Here is a 12,990-nt window from a genome sequence, read left to right as displayed (position 1 = left end):
TGCCTTTCTGCTTTACATAAAGGTCTCCTAGGAGTTGTAGCCAGGAAATAATTTCCCAGGATCCAACCTTCCCAGAGTGGCTGATAGTGTTGAGCCTGTTCCCATATGGTTAAATGTGTGCTCTCCTAAGGCAGCACGAACCTGAGAGATCCTAAAACTCACTGGGACAATGAGACTAATGTGCAGTACAACACAGAGACAATGCAAAATATTCTCTCTGAGGTTTATGAGCTTTCCTAACTTCTTATAGTTATTTTGGATCTACAATGAATATGCAGGAAAGATGGCCAAGGAAGGTTGCAGTTAGAAAGTGAGATAAGCCTGCTAAATGGGAAAGAGATAACTAAAAATGAATGTAGCTCAATCTTCTAGTCTTTGGTGATCCCCAAGTGCTGTGTCTTTATTAATAGTCTTATGTGAGATGAGTGGCCCTCATCCTCAGATGCACATTAGAAACTCCTGGGGAGCCATTAAAACTCCCATGTCCAGACTATACTGAGGCTAGTCACATGGGACTCTCTGGGTGTGGCATCTAGGTGCCAGGATGTTTTAAAACTCCCCAGGTGATTCCAATATGAAGCCAAGGCTGAAAACCACTGTGCTAAGCTGTGGATAAAAGTTCATTGATCTCAGACATCTCTCCACCTGCATTGCTCCCTCTGCTTCTACCACTATTTTTTTTTTTAATTCAACAGTACTGACATGAAAAGAGCTAAGCTGTTCTTGTGGTTCAGACTGTGATACACTGAAGGACACTTTGTCTTAGTGAGTGAATGTGTTGCACTAGAAGTCAGCAAACTATGGCTTGTGGACATATTTGGGCCCACCAAATGTTTCTATATACCCGTGTGCTTAGAGTAGTTTTTACATTTTTAAATGGTTGAAAAAAATCAAAAGAAGAATAATATTTTGTGACACATGAACATTATATGAAATTCAAATTTCAGTGCCCATAAATAAAATTTGACTGGAATTCAGGCAGCCCATTCATTCATGTACTGTCTATACTGCTTCCATGTTCTGAGAGCAAAGTTGAGTAGTTGAGACAGAGATCATATGGACCACAAAGTCAAAAATATTATCTGTACCTTTACAGAAAAGGTTTTTGATCTCTGTGTGTATGCCAGTTTGGGGAAAAACTCTAAGTATGTTTTTCCTCTGCTCTCACAGTACTACAACAATCATCGATCATCACGGAAGTCTCTGGTGAACAAAGGTGTGGGGTTTTTCCCCACACACCAAGCAGCAGACACCAGATGGGTGTCCTCTAATTAAATTCTGACACTATCTATTCAAAGAGAGTGTCAGATCCCACAGGGTGAGGACTCAGTCCCCAAGACTGTCCTCCCCCAGACACCAGTCACAAGTCCGGGCTTTTAGAACTTCTGACCAACTGTCTTCAATTTGGGGTTCCCATGACCCCCTCTTTGTGTTTAATTAGCTGGAGTGGCTCACAGAACTCAGGGAAACACATCAACCAGTTTATTATAAAGGCTATTACAAAAGATACAGTTAAAGAGATGCGTAGGGTGAGGTATGGGGATAGGACTGCAGAGTTTCCATGCCCTCCCTGTGTGTACCACCCTCCTGGCACCTCCACATGTGTGGCTATCCAGAAGTTCTCTGAACTCTGTCCTCTTGGATTTTTATGGAGGCTTCATTACATAGGCATGATTGACAACCATGTAAAAATGTGATTGGACAGAAAGTGCATGATCTAAACCTAGCAAGGCTTGTCTGTTCAGACTTTTCTTGGTTTCTCTGTGTAGCATTCCTTCCTCTAGGTTATGAGGCAGGGTTTCCGGAATGAGGGTCTTTTGAACCATAATCAGGTTAGAGTCCTGCTTTGGCGGGTGAAAGAAGGACAGCAGAAGGTCAGAGAGAGAGTTTATGTTTTCTGAGGCCTAAAGTGACCCAACAGTATAACAAGGACTATGGAAGTTGGGAGGCAGGAACTATGGATGAAAACCTATATATATATATATATTAACACCACAGTGCCTATGCGCACAAACACACACACACACACACACACACACACACACACATGAGTCTATTTAAAAACTAAACTCTTTGGAGAAGCTAATACACCCAAAAGAAGTAAATTTCAGGTATTGGGTGTTTGTGTGTTAAACTTAGGCCCAAGTGAGCCATCATAGGATCACTTCAAAGCAGAATTAGGGAAGCAGAGAGATGAGAAAGACATGGAAATTCCTCAAGCAGCTTCTGTAGCTGCAATGTCCCCTGAAGCCACTGGCCTTCTATGGCTTACTCGCACATATCTTCCTTTTCCTTTTTGGAAAGAGGACAAGAGTAGTATAAGGTAGTGGGCACTCAATGAAATTGTGCCAAATGAATCCTAATGTTAACTATAGAAATAGCTTTATAATTTGACTTAATAAAACAAAAGCTGCTTTGTTTGAGGGTTTTAAAATGTTTAGTGTTTCCTTAATGGATTTGTTCCCTTTAAGAAGACTCCCTCTAAAATGGAGGAGACAGTTACCATGAGGAAGGGACTCCAGCTGGGTATGAAGAAGTAGATCTTAAGAACAGGTGGTACTCTCAACGTGATAATATTTTTGTTTTTTAGCATCCCATTAAAATTCTGATCAAATGTCTTATTTCTAAATAATGACCAGAAGCCGTTTTGAGGAGAGAGGCCAGCAGCCATGAAAAGCCTTGGGTCAATTAGAAGTCGGGGGCAAGAAGAAAGCCAACTACCTTCCCCCATAGACACACAAAAAAGGGGAGTGTTTAACAGAACTTAACTTTCAGCAACTAAATGGAACAAATACTTACTCCATACTTAGTAGTTCAGAATTGCCAACCTCTTGTTCTGAGTAGGATGTTATATTGCATATAAGAAGATAGGTATTAAGGCATCCAAAGCCATCTACATCCTGGTCCAACTTACCTCTCCATCTCCTCATCTCTTGTACACCATACTTCAATTTTTATACTCTAGAAACTCTGAACAGTTTCTTTTCAGCACACAGTCTACTTTATGTCTATTTTCCTTTGTACTTTTTATTTCCTCTGTGTAGAATGCTCTTCCTATCTTTCTTTACCTGGCCAAGTCCTCCTCATTTCTTAAAAGCTGCTTAGGGATCACCTCAATGAAGCTTACCTGAATCCTTTGAAAGGATAAATGCCTATCTTTGGTTTTCCCATAGCACGCAGAACATCTTTTTAAAATCGTATTACTATATTGTATTTAAATTATTTGTTTAGTTATCCCAGCCTTCCTGCTAAATTGGAAGCTCATAAAAGGGTGGAACAGTATTACTGTCTAAGAACTTCCACATTTACCATCTGGCATATATAGTACTAGGTCAATAATGTTAACAGAGCTGTGTGTTGAATTCATTTGTATGAATAGAATGCATAGATGACCAAGTCACATATCTCTGCTCTTCAATGATCTGTAGAAGAAGAAAGGCTATCTATTGTATCTTAGCTACCCTGAGAGTGGTAACATGTCACATAATACATATTTAGGTAGCAGTGAGTAAAAGAGCAATTTATTAAATTGGAGGAGGGGAAGGTGTTAGATTTAGTTCATAGAAATAGAGCATGCCAAGACAGTGAATCCATGGGAAACAATTGGAGAAACAGACAAAACAGCAAGGAGGAGGCTTCAGGCTTACAATCATTTGATCACAGGAATGAAGCATGGGTGTGGCTGAATTACTGAGCCTCCATACCTTCTCACATTATTGACATTATAATGAGGAAAGTCACACATAATATAAAGTAAACAGAAATCAGGGGCTGAACAGTGGTCTGACAAACTGCGTCTTTGAAGGAGGTCTGAGAGCAGTTTGGGAGGGAGGTTGTAGCAGACTCTCAGTGTCCCTGCCCATTTGCCTTCAGCACTTACCTCTACCCACAGAATCTTGGTTACTGGGAATACCCAGAACTCCCTGCCTGAGGAGTTTTTTGACTCATGGGAGCATGGAGCCCCTGTGAACAGGGCAAGTCGGAAGTGCCAGAGAGTTAGTGCCCTAGAAGCAGCCCTCAATAAATTTTGAACAAAGAGCTGCTGTAAAAATACCCCAGATTCCCTATCTCTTAACTGGATAACTCTGAGGTACATTCAGCACGGTTTTCTAGAATTGGCCAGTGAGATTGAGCTCTAGTTGCCCACAATAACAACTGGCTTAATGACATATCCTTTTTGCCTGCCTTCCCTTCCCTGGCTCATTTCCCCACTCTCCTATCTCTGTTTCCTTAGACCACATCCTGAACATATTACTTACTCTTGAATCCTTATTTCAGGATTGTCTTCCAAAGGAGCCCAAATCAAGTGCATATTTGTGCATATGGTGGGCAAAGGATGAGTTTAGAAAAGGATGGCTTTGAGTTCTAAATAGAAGTTTCTAGCTAAAGTTCTTTTTTTTTTGCAACTTCAGACTGTGTATCTCCCACTGATAAGGTCACAGCATAACAAAATACTCTGGTGAATTCATGTTTCCTCTCCTGTTTTATCATGTGTCAGTTGCTCCCTGGAATTAAAATTCACTTTTCTCAGGCCACCATGGTTTTGCGAATTGCTTTAGGCTGTTAGCATTTGCTACAGCTTGTGGCTTTGATTGCCCACCCCTCGCTCCTCCTAAGGAGGGCTGAGCTTACCCAAAGGAGATTAAAATGGAAAAAAAGGAATTAGCAGTGACAAAGGAGGGAAAGGCACAGGAAAGAGGTGAAAGTAATTTTCCTTTGGAGGACAATGCTCACAGCCTTTATCCTGTTGAGTCACCGAACGATCATTATAGAATAAATGTACATACTTTCAGAGATATGCTATACATTTGAACATTTTTTTAAGCCTGGTAAGGAATGGAGTTTGCTAATAGCATTAGCAACTAGCTATGTAATGTTTTATCTAATACGCAAAACAGACCATTGTTGACTTTGTGGATGTGGTCCTGACTCAGAGTTAAACACTCCCACCTTGCTATATTCAAATTTCTAGTAAGAGGCTGCCACCTAATTGGCACCTTAATTGCAAAGATGTCAATGAAAATTACATTCAGGACAGGAGAATAATTTTATTTCTGATGAAAAAGAAGGCATCATTTAGTGATAGAATGGGTTTAATAAACTCACTTTACTAAAATAATAGATATGAGGAATGGATGATTCTTTAAATTCATGATAATATCCAAAGTGCCATATTTCCTGGACAGAGAGAGAAAAAGAGAGGGGCAGTGCTTGAAATGAGGACAAGAACTAGCTAAGGGCTGGTTTGAATGGTGTGGTCTCTGCTTTTGGTGGATCACAGCCAAAGCAAAGCAGCTTGTGAAGCTTCACAGAGACTGTGACCATCAGTCCCAGATCCACTGGAGAGCAATTAGGAATAACTGGATGAAACTGGTGTGCGTGGAGTGGAGGAGTGGGAGGGCAGAAAGATGAGAACCTAGTTGGTTACGAGACCAAACAAGGTCCCACCGTCTGTTCACATTCCATGTAGATATTGCCATATTCTCCAATGACATGATAGAAACGCTACTGAGAAACAGCATCATTCTTCCTCCATTTTTACTGAACAAAATGCATTTTAGGTTCAAAGTTCTAGTTTTACTCTGTTTTTAAAGATAACATTGTTGGCATCTCCCTCAGATTCCTTTTACCAGCTGTGCATGCTCCTCCCTAGATCCTGAGTTCTTTTCTGCTAATGGATGTCACCTGCCACCTTCAGAGACCTTCCCTTTAGCCCTGGAGCTGGAGGCCTAGAAATGCCCTGGAGTTTGTCTCCCCCTCACCCCTATAGAAGAGTTGTCAGATAAAATACAGAACTCGCAGTTAAACTTGAATTTCAGATAAAAAAATTAATTTTAAGTATAAGGATGTCCCAAATATTGCATGAAACATACTTATACTAAAAAACAGTTGTTAGTCTCAACTATACATACCTGGGCATCCTGTATCTTCACTTGCTAAGTCTAGAGACTCTATTCAAGGGAGGCCATGGTCAATGACTGACTGGTATAGGAGTGCAATGGTCCAGCTCCTCAATGTGGAAAAAGCTCAGGGATATAGTTTATGCTCTAGAGTCTCCTACAGGATCAGGCTGAGTCCTCAGACCACACTGGAGCTAGCACCATTGTTTAGCTTCTTCCTCTTCTCTATTCTGTCTCTCCTACTCCCTTCCTGGTTTCTCTTGGAATCACTTGATTAATAATAAATCACTTGCTTATAAATCCTTGTCTAGGGGTCTGTTTCTGGGAGAGCATGACTTAAGTTAGAGATCTTGTAAATCATACCACAGTGACAGCTCATCACAACTTTGTAGGGATTAGAAATCACTACCTTGAATAATATTGTTTATTAACTACAGCTTACATTTATTTTCCTAAAAATATTCTTTGTCTCATGTGTCAAGTCCCTAGCAACCGGTGAACATCCATTTGACAAGCTCTTCTGAGAGGCTGCTAGGGCTTCTTTAATCTATTCATACTTTCCCTTGCTTTGAAACTACTGAAAAGAAAGCCAACTGCACATCTGATAAAACATCATTTACACTCTTATATGATGTGAGCCTTAAAAAGGAATGCCGAAGCCCAGCTGCTCCATGAAAATACCAATGATCCATGAAAAAATATGCATTGTAAGGGAAAAAGGGGAAATATTAGTAAGCTGGGTCAGGCAATAGACCAAAGAGACTGGGATCTTACAGTCTCTTCAGATGATGGAAGTTAAGAAAAGATGGGCTACCTCCTGCCTCAATTTTCTAAGGACTCATTTTGAAATAATGGAACTCATCTCACTGTGGCAGTCCATTAATGAGTCATCACTGTGATAAATGCACGTTCAAGGGAAAGGACATTTTGCTCTATTGATCTCCTGAGCATCTTTACTCACTTTCTTAGTGGCAAAATATTGTTCTTAACATGCTTAAGCCAAAGCACTCCTGGCTACTTCTGACTATGTGTAAGCCATTTCAGGTATTTACAATTTAAGATAAAGTCTACTTAGGGACTTTCTTTCAGCTTACAAAAAGAACAAGAAGCTCCTGGGTCAATATACCAGTACTTGGTGATGCATGTCCATATGGCTTTATAGTTTTGGTTATTTATGCCTAGTAGTAGATAATACACAAAGAGTAAACTGAGGCAGATAGAGTCCATTACGGTATAAGCACTGATACTGGAGACCATGCTCCCTATTATTCTTGTTGAGTAACTGTAAGACATATAACTTAAAATAGCACAATCTAATTTTGTTAGGCTGGCAGCCTTTTTTTTTTCTTTAACAAGGAACATTGGCCGGGTGCGGTGGCTCACGCCTGTAATCCCAGCACTTTGGGAGGCCGAGGCGGGTGGATCATGAGGTCAGGAGATCAAGACTGTCCTGGCTAACACGGTGAAACTCCGTCTCTACTAAAAATACAAAAAATTAGCTGGGCGTGGTGGTGGGCACCTGTAGTTCCAGCTACTCGGGAGGCTGAGGCAGGAGAATGGTGTGAACCCAGGAGGCTGAGGTTGCAGTGAGCCGAGATTGCACCACTGCACTCCAGCCCGGGAGACAGAGCGAGACTCCATCTCAAAAAAAAAAAACAAAAACAAAAAACAAGGAACATTGTCTTTCCTCTTTTTGTATATATTGCCTTTCTTAAATGCTAGCCTTAAGTGTTAGCCAAGGTGGCTCATCCATGGAGTCCCAGGAGGCTGAGCAAAAAGAACACCAAATTAGTTGCTTACTGTCTCTAAATAATTTTGACCACTACTATCTCAGAGTCAGGAGTCCAACTATGAAAAACAAAAATGAGATTTATTTATTCATTTTTTTTTGAGACAAGGTCTTGCTCAGTCACCCATGCTGGAGTGCAGTGGCATGATCATAGCTCACTGTAACCTCAAATTCCTGGGCTCAAGCAATCTTCCTGCCTTAGCCTTCTAAAGCATTGGGATTATAGATGTGAGCCACTGTGCCCAGCCAAAATGAGATGTTTATAGAAAGTTTTGTGGGACACAGCATGAAGCTACCTCAATGGAAGACAAATGAAACTATTTCAAGGATAAAGGCAACCATAGCTTAACAGTTTGTAATCATAAAAGGGAATATATCAGCATTCTTGAAAGTTTGGGAAATACTGAATACAGTATTAATATTTTGATAATGGGTGATAAATGACTTTACGCTTCCTTGTAATTTTTTTTTTCTGTATGGTTTTACATAAAGTAACGCTTGCATGCAGGACTGTTATAGGGACAAAAGAAACAGCTATGGAGAGTCACCATGAAAAAATAACCCAATAGTCAAAATAGTGTCCCCTCTAAGGAAATTTTTTGGTCTGCATTCTAAAATGGATTACAGGGAAGAATGCAATTCTGCTTGCATTCTTCCTAACCTAAGGAGAAAAGAAAATCTGCTACTTGTACTATCTGGCTTGCAAAATTACCCCAGACACAAGCAAACGAAAGGGAGTTAACAATTGGACAAACCAGTGAAATATGAAGGTGGATATTTTTTTCTCATTGCTAGCTTTGATAATACACTAATCATGAAAATAAGTCTTGACTATGCTCCAATAGGATACAGAAAATCACGCCTGATATAAAATGACTATGCTCTGGGCTATCCTTTGTGTTTCTCATTATTTTTCTTGACAAGTGATAGATCTGTGGATAGGACATTCTCAATTGGCTCCACTGATAATCTCCTCCAGTTAGAAGAGGTGGAACTAGAAAGGAAGTGAAATTTATGAAAAAGTCTCTGAGGAAATTCAAATTTAAAATTATTAATAATTTTTTAAAAGCTGCAAGGAATGTATTTGACACTCAGAGGTTTCTTTTTTTCAGGAGCTTAAATAGAAAAAGCTCAAGAAGTCAATGAAAAACATTTACTTGCCCTGTACATTTCCATTTGAACTGCAGCCCCAAGTGCCAGAATATAAAGTTTCATCCCTGCAGGTGACATAGGCAATTCCAATAGCTGTAATTCTAGAAGTAGGGTACGTGCTTTCCATATCAACTAAAAAATATCTTCCTGAATTTTCACATTATGTGTTAGGAGTTCTCCAAGTGGTAATATTTCACAGATACCTAAAATCCCCCTATGAATGGGAATATATCAACCTTAACCTCAGGCTACATCATTGCTCAATCTGTATGACTCTTACCTGTCTGAACCAGGAGGTGATTTTAAACTCCGAAAATGTTGACCGTCTAAGTCCAAGCTATAGCTCCGCCCAGTGTCAGTTTTGGGAGTTATGATTTCTCCTCTGGTTGCCGATCTGAACTTGCTAAGAAGAAATCTGAAATTATATATATGTATTTAAAATTAGATAAGAAAGAAAGCATTTAAAAATATCATTTCAAGAATACAATTTCTAGTACTTTTAATAATAAAGGATTCTTCAATAAAGCAGCCTTAGGGCTGAGAGGTTCTGGAGAGTTCCCAGTGCCTCTGCAATACAGTATCAAGGGTGATAATGGGGAAGGTTACGCCGTTCTCTCAAGACCGTACCACTTGCTGGTAGGTCACTACTAAGCAAAAGACTGCCTATTCTGAGAACTCAGCACTGTCACCTGAGAAAGAAGATGCATTCCCTGAGTTGGGCCTGTTTGCAGGAATAGTGAGAATAGAGAGTTTGAACTCCCTTTGCTCAGAGAGGGAAGCCAGGATGATCCTCTTGGACAAACTGAGGTAGCTGCTTATTAGACTGCAGCTCCATGAGAGCAGTGACTCTGCCTTTCTTGTTCCTTGACAGATTTCCAGAGCCTAGAATGATGCCTGGCTTATACTGGAATCCAACCAACTCTTGTGGAACGAATGACTAAACTCATCTTTATTATCTTCCATGACATTTATTCTTGTGCCTCATGTTGGATAAAATCTGATTACCTTCCAATTTCACTAAATTATTTGGGGTTTAAGCAGAAACAGCCTTTTAGGAACTTAAAGTCCTGATCCAGGATACCATGTGCCCAAAACATGGGTGTTTCCAAATGTACTTGAATAAGAAAATCAAAGCTATATTCCTTTTTGTAATGGCATTGGGAGATACACTTCATTTACATTCTACAGTTTTCTAGAGGAAAACATGGATTCCAAAGGTACTGGCACAATCTTAATAGAATCTGCCATGTTGTCTCTGTTTCAAAGACTCCTGGAATAGTGTCATTGTCAAAGCATCTGAAGCTTTAATCTACTGGAAAATTACATTTTTTCTTTGGTGAGAATAGCACTTAATATAATGTCAAGGTATGCTGCTCTGAGAACCACCTCATGCATGTCCTCTACTTAAGGTATCTCCTCTGCCTGGAGTCACTCTTCCTCCGTTTTGTGATCCTGAACCCCATTTATCTCCTCCTCAAATCTCATGTACAATTTGATGTCTTTCTGGATGACTCCTATACTCAACTGGCACTTATTGTCCACCTGCTTATTTATATGTACTCAGTAATTTATAACCTTAGGATATCTCTTGTGGTGAACACCCTCCTCTGTTTTAGAAAGGCTTTTAGGAAGCTCACATTGCCATCTTAAATTTTCCTGCAATTCTTTTATACTTAGTAACTTTTCAGGTGTGTACCTTTTCTCCCCAAATAGATGTTATATTCCTTGATGACTGAGAACAATCAGAATCTAAGGCTCAGCCCAGTGCTACAATGGTTTCAATGATTCAGAATTTGCATAATTGATTGTGATGGTGAGTTAGTTACTGTCTCCTATCTCCAAGTCCACTATTCTGTAACCTACTCTATGATGCCTGAGCTGGGGTCTGCAAATGACAACTCCTAGAGGCATTTGTGGGCTCTGAGTTACTTATTCAATCAAGCCACTGATTGTTTTTGATGAGTCAGGTGCCATGCTAGATACTGCAACACAGAAGCAAAGAAACCACTGGTCTACCACTAAAGAAGCTTACAATTAAGTGTGTGCATGTGTGTGTGTGTGTGTGTGTGTGTGTGTTGAGGGGGTGTCAGAGTGCAATATGATTGGTGGTGCAAAGGCACAAAGCATTGTGGGTGACCCAAAGAGTGATAAATGAACTCAAGATGGTAGGAAGGATCAATACATAGGATAGGATATACAGGATACTCTAGGCTATCTTTCCAACTCATCTCTGCTCATCAATGAAAACATGGTTTGTCATGAGTGCTTGAGTTAGATGACATTTAGATTGTATTCCTACTGACAGCCCAAGATTCTAAAAGAACCCTAGACATTTTGTACAGCCAGATAAATCTTCTAACACTAATGCCCTCTCACTTTGCATTCTACTGAGAGAATGAAGCAATGCTGTCTGAAAAGGACCATAAAGTTAGGCAGGCATGGTGGCATACAACTTGTAGTACCAGCTACTTGGGAGGCCAAGGCAAGAGGATTGCTTGAGCCCAGGAGTTCAAGGCCAGCTCAGGCAACATAATGAGACCCCATCTCAATAATAATAAAAAAACAGAAAGGACCATAAAATGACTTGGTGCACATTAGAACTCTCACTACTTCAGTCACAAAAACTGGCCAATAGCTGCATGAGAAACAAAAACTGAAAAATGCAGTTTCCTTTTGGTCCTTATAGCCTATATTTTGGGATCCACTTTTCTCCCTTGAAAGAAACTTCTTGCTCCCTTATGTACCTCCCATTCCTATTCTCAGTACTTGGCATCCATATTCTGTATTCATTTACTGAACTAAGTTACTGTGGTGGCCAAATGTGACTTTTTTTCTTAAGGAAGCCTGAATTTTAAATAGGGAATATGGTGCTTTAAGCTCAATTAATAAATCTTTATTTTGGATAAAATTATATATCAGCACACAGGTTGGAGGGGAGGAGTATTGACATTGTACAACAGAAATTGTTGTCACCTCTTTATAGACTGATCCTGGCATGAAACTTTCTACTTATAAGTAATGGGAACCATATAGTGCAAGACTGGATATGTCAAATGAAAGGAAAACTCTTCTGTGCTTAGGTCAGACAGGACTTTTATTTACTTATTGAAAATTATTAAAACTGCATTTCCTGAGGAGAATGATAAGAAAGTGTTACTTTGTTTGAGTCTCTGACCTCCTCTGGGTCATTGAAGTGACATCAAACTTGAAAAATTAAGGAGTCTTCATTTCAGAGGTGTCTGGAATAAAGATCAAAAATTCCCTCAGAAAGACCATGTCTTACCCCTTTCTCTTGGGCCCATCATGGCTGGCCTTCTTCCCAGCAACAGGTGAAGTGTCTGACTTTTCTGCATCCTGGCGGGTTTGCTCTTGGCTCTGTACTTCTTCAGCTCCTCATTAACAAACAATCAGAAGAGAAATTTACATACAAAATGGCCAGAAATGAGAGCAAATTTATATTCTGCTTTCACTTTCCCAGATTAGCTCAGGGCAAGGAAGTCTATAATAATTGGCAATGCCATTCCCATCCCAAGTTTTTCTGTCACACAGTTAGTTCTAATTTGTTGAGTGTTCTAGAGTTAACTGAAGACAAAGATCCTGAACTCATCTGTGGGAGGTTTACTGAGATAACCTTCCTAGGGATGACTGCATCAGCCTTCTGTTGATATTTTTAGAGCAGGGGAACATGGTCTCCTAAGATCTCCAAATCCCTGGAGACTGAGTTCTAGCATGAGGTTGTAGAAATGATGTCCTAATTTCTGGGCATATAAGCCACACTTCCTGGGAGGGTGGGCATCTGTGCAAATATATTGTGACTTGAGGAACTGCCTACATTCTGGAAGGTACTGGGGTTTGAGTGGAAGAAGAGGCCATGGCTGATTGCCTAATTCTAACTGTACTCCACACCATCTCTCTGTAGTATCGGATCTGTGTGACCTATGTGGAAAAGCCTTTCCTTGCTAGTGCCACACCCAGAAGTACCACTGGAATCAGTTCCAAGCCTTCTCGCCATATGTGCCAGACTTAAATACAAGGGCACTTGTCTCCTCTGGATGAAAGATGAGATAAGCCTAGAAACAGGCTGAAAGATGTTTCTTCCGCTTTTACTACACCATATACGAGAAACATGCTCCCAATCACAAGGTTTAC

At 40.1% G+C, this 12,990-nt stretch overlaps 1 protein-coding gene across 28 annotated transcripts in view; it reads right to left on the bottom strand.

Moving 5' to 3' along the window:
* Positions 1–12,990, bottom strand: part of SYTL5 (synaptotagmin like 5) — a 239,906-nt gene that overhangs the window by 42,998 nt on the left and 183,918 nt on the right. For 19 of the 28 annotated variants that reach the window (XM_017029972.1, XM_047442658.1, XM_011544001.3 and 16 more), the window contains 2 exons: positions 12,125–12,233; positions 9,122–9,256 (listed from right to left, as the gene is read on the bottom strand). In XM_017029972.1, the coding sequence (XP_016885461.1) occupies positions 9,122–9,256; positions 12,125–12,233 (244 nt within the window). The remainder of the gene's footprint in view (positions 1–9,121; positions 9,257–12,124; positions 12,234–12,990) is intronic. The other 9 variants (XM_047442663.1, XM_047442660.1, XM_047442666.1 and 6 more) reach the window with 1 other exon arrangement.

Source organism: Homo sapiens, chromosome X (assembly GCF_000001405.40).
Source record: "Homo sapiens chromosome X, GRCh38.p14 Primary Assembly".
Lineage (NCBI taxonomy): Eukaryota > Metazoa > Chordata > Mammalia > Primates > Hominidae > Homo > Homo sapiens.
This window is presented reverse-complemented; position numbering and strand designations above follow the sequence as displayed.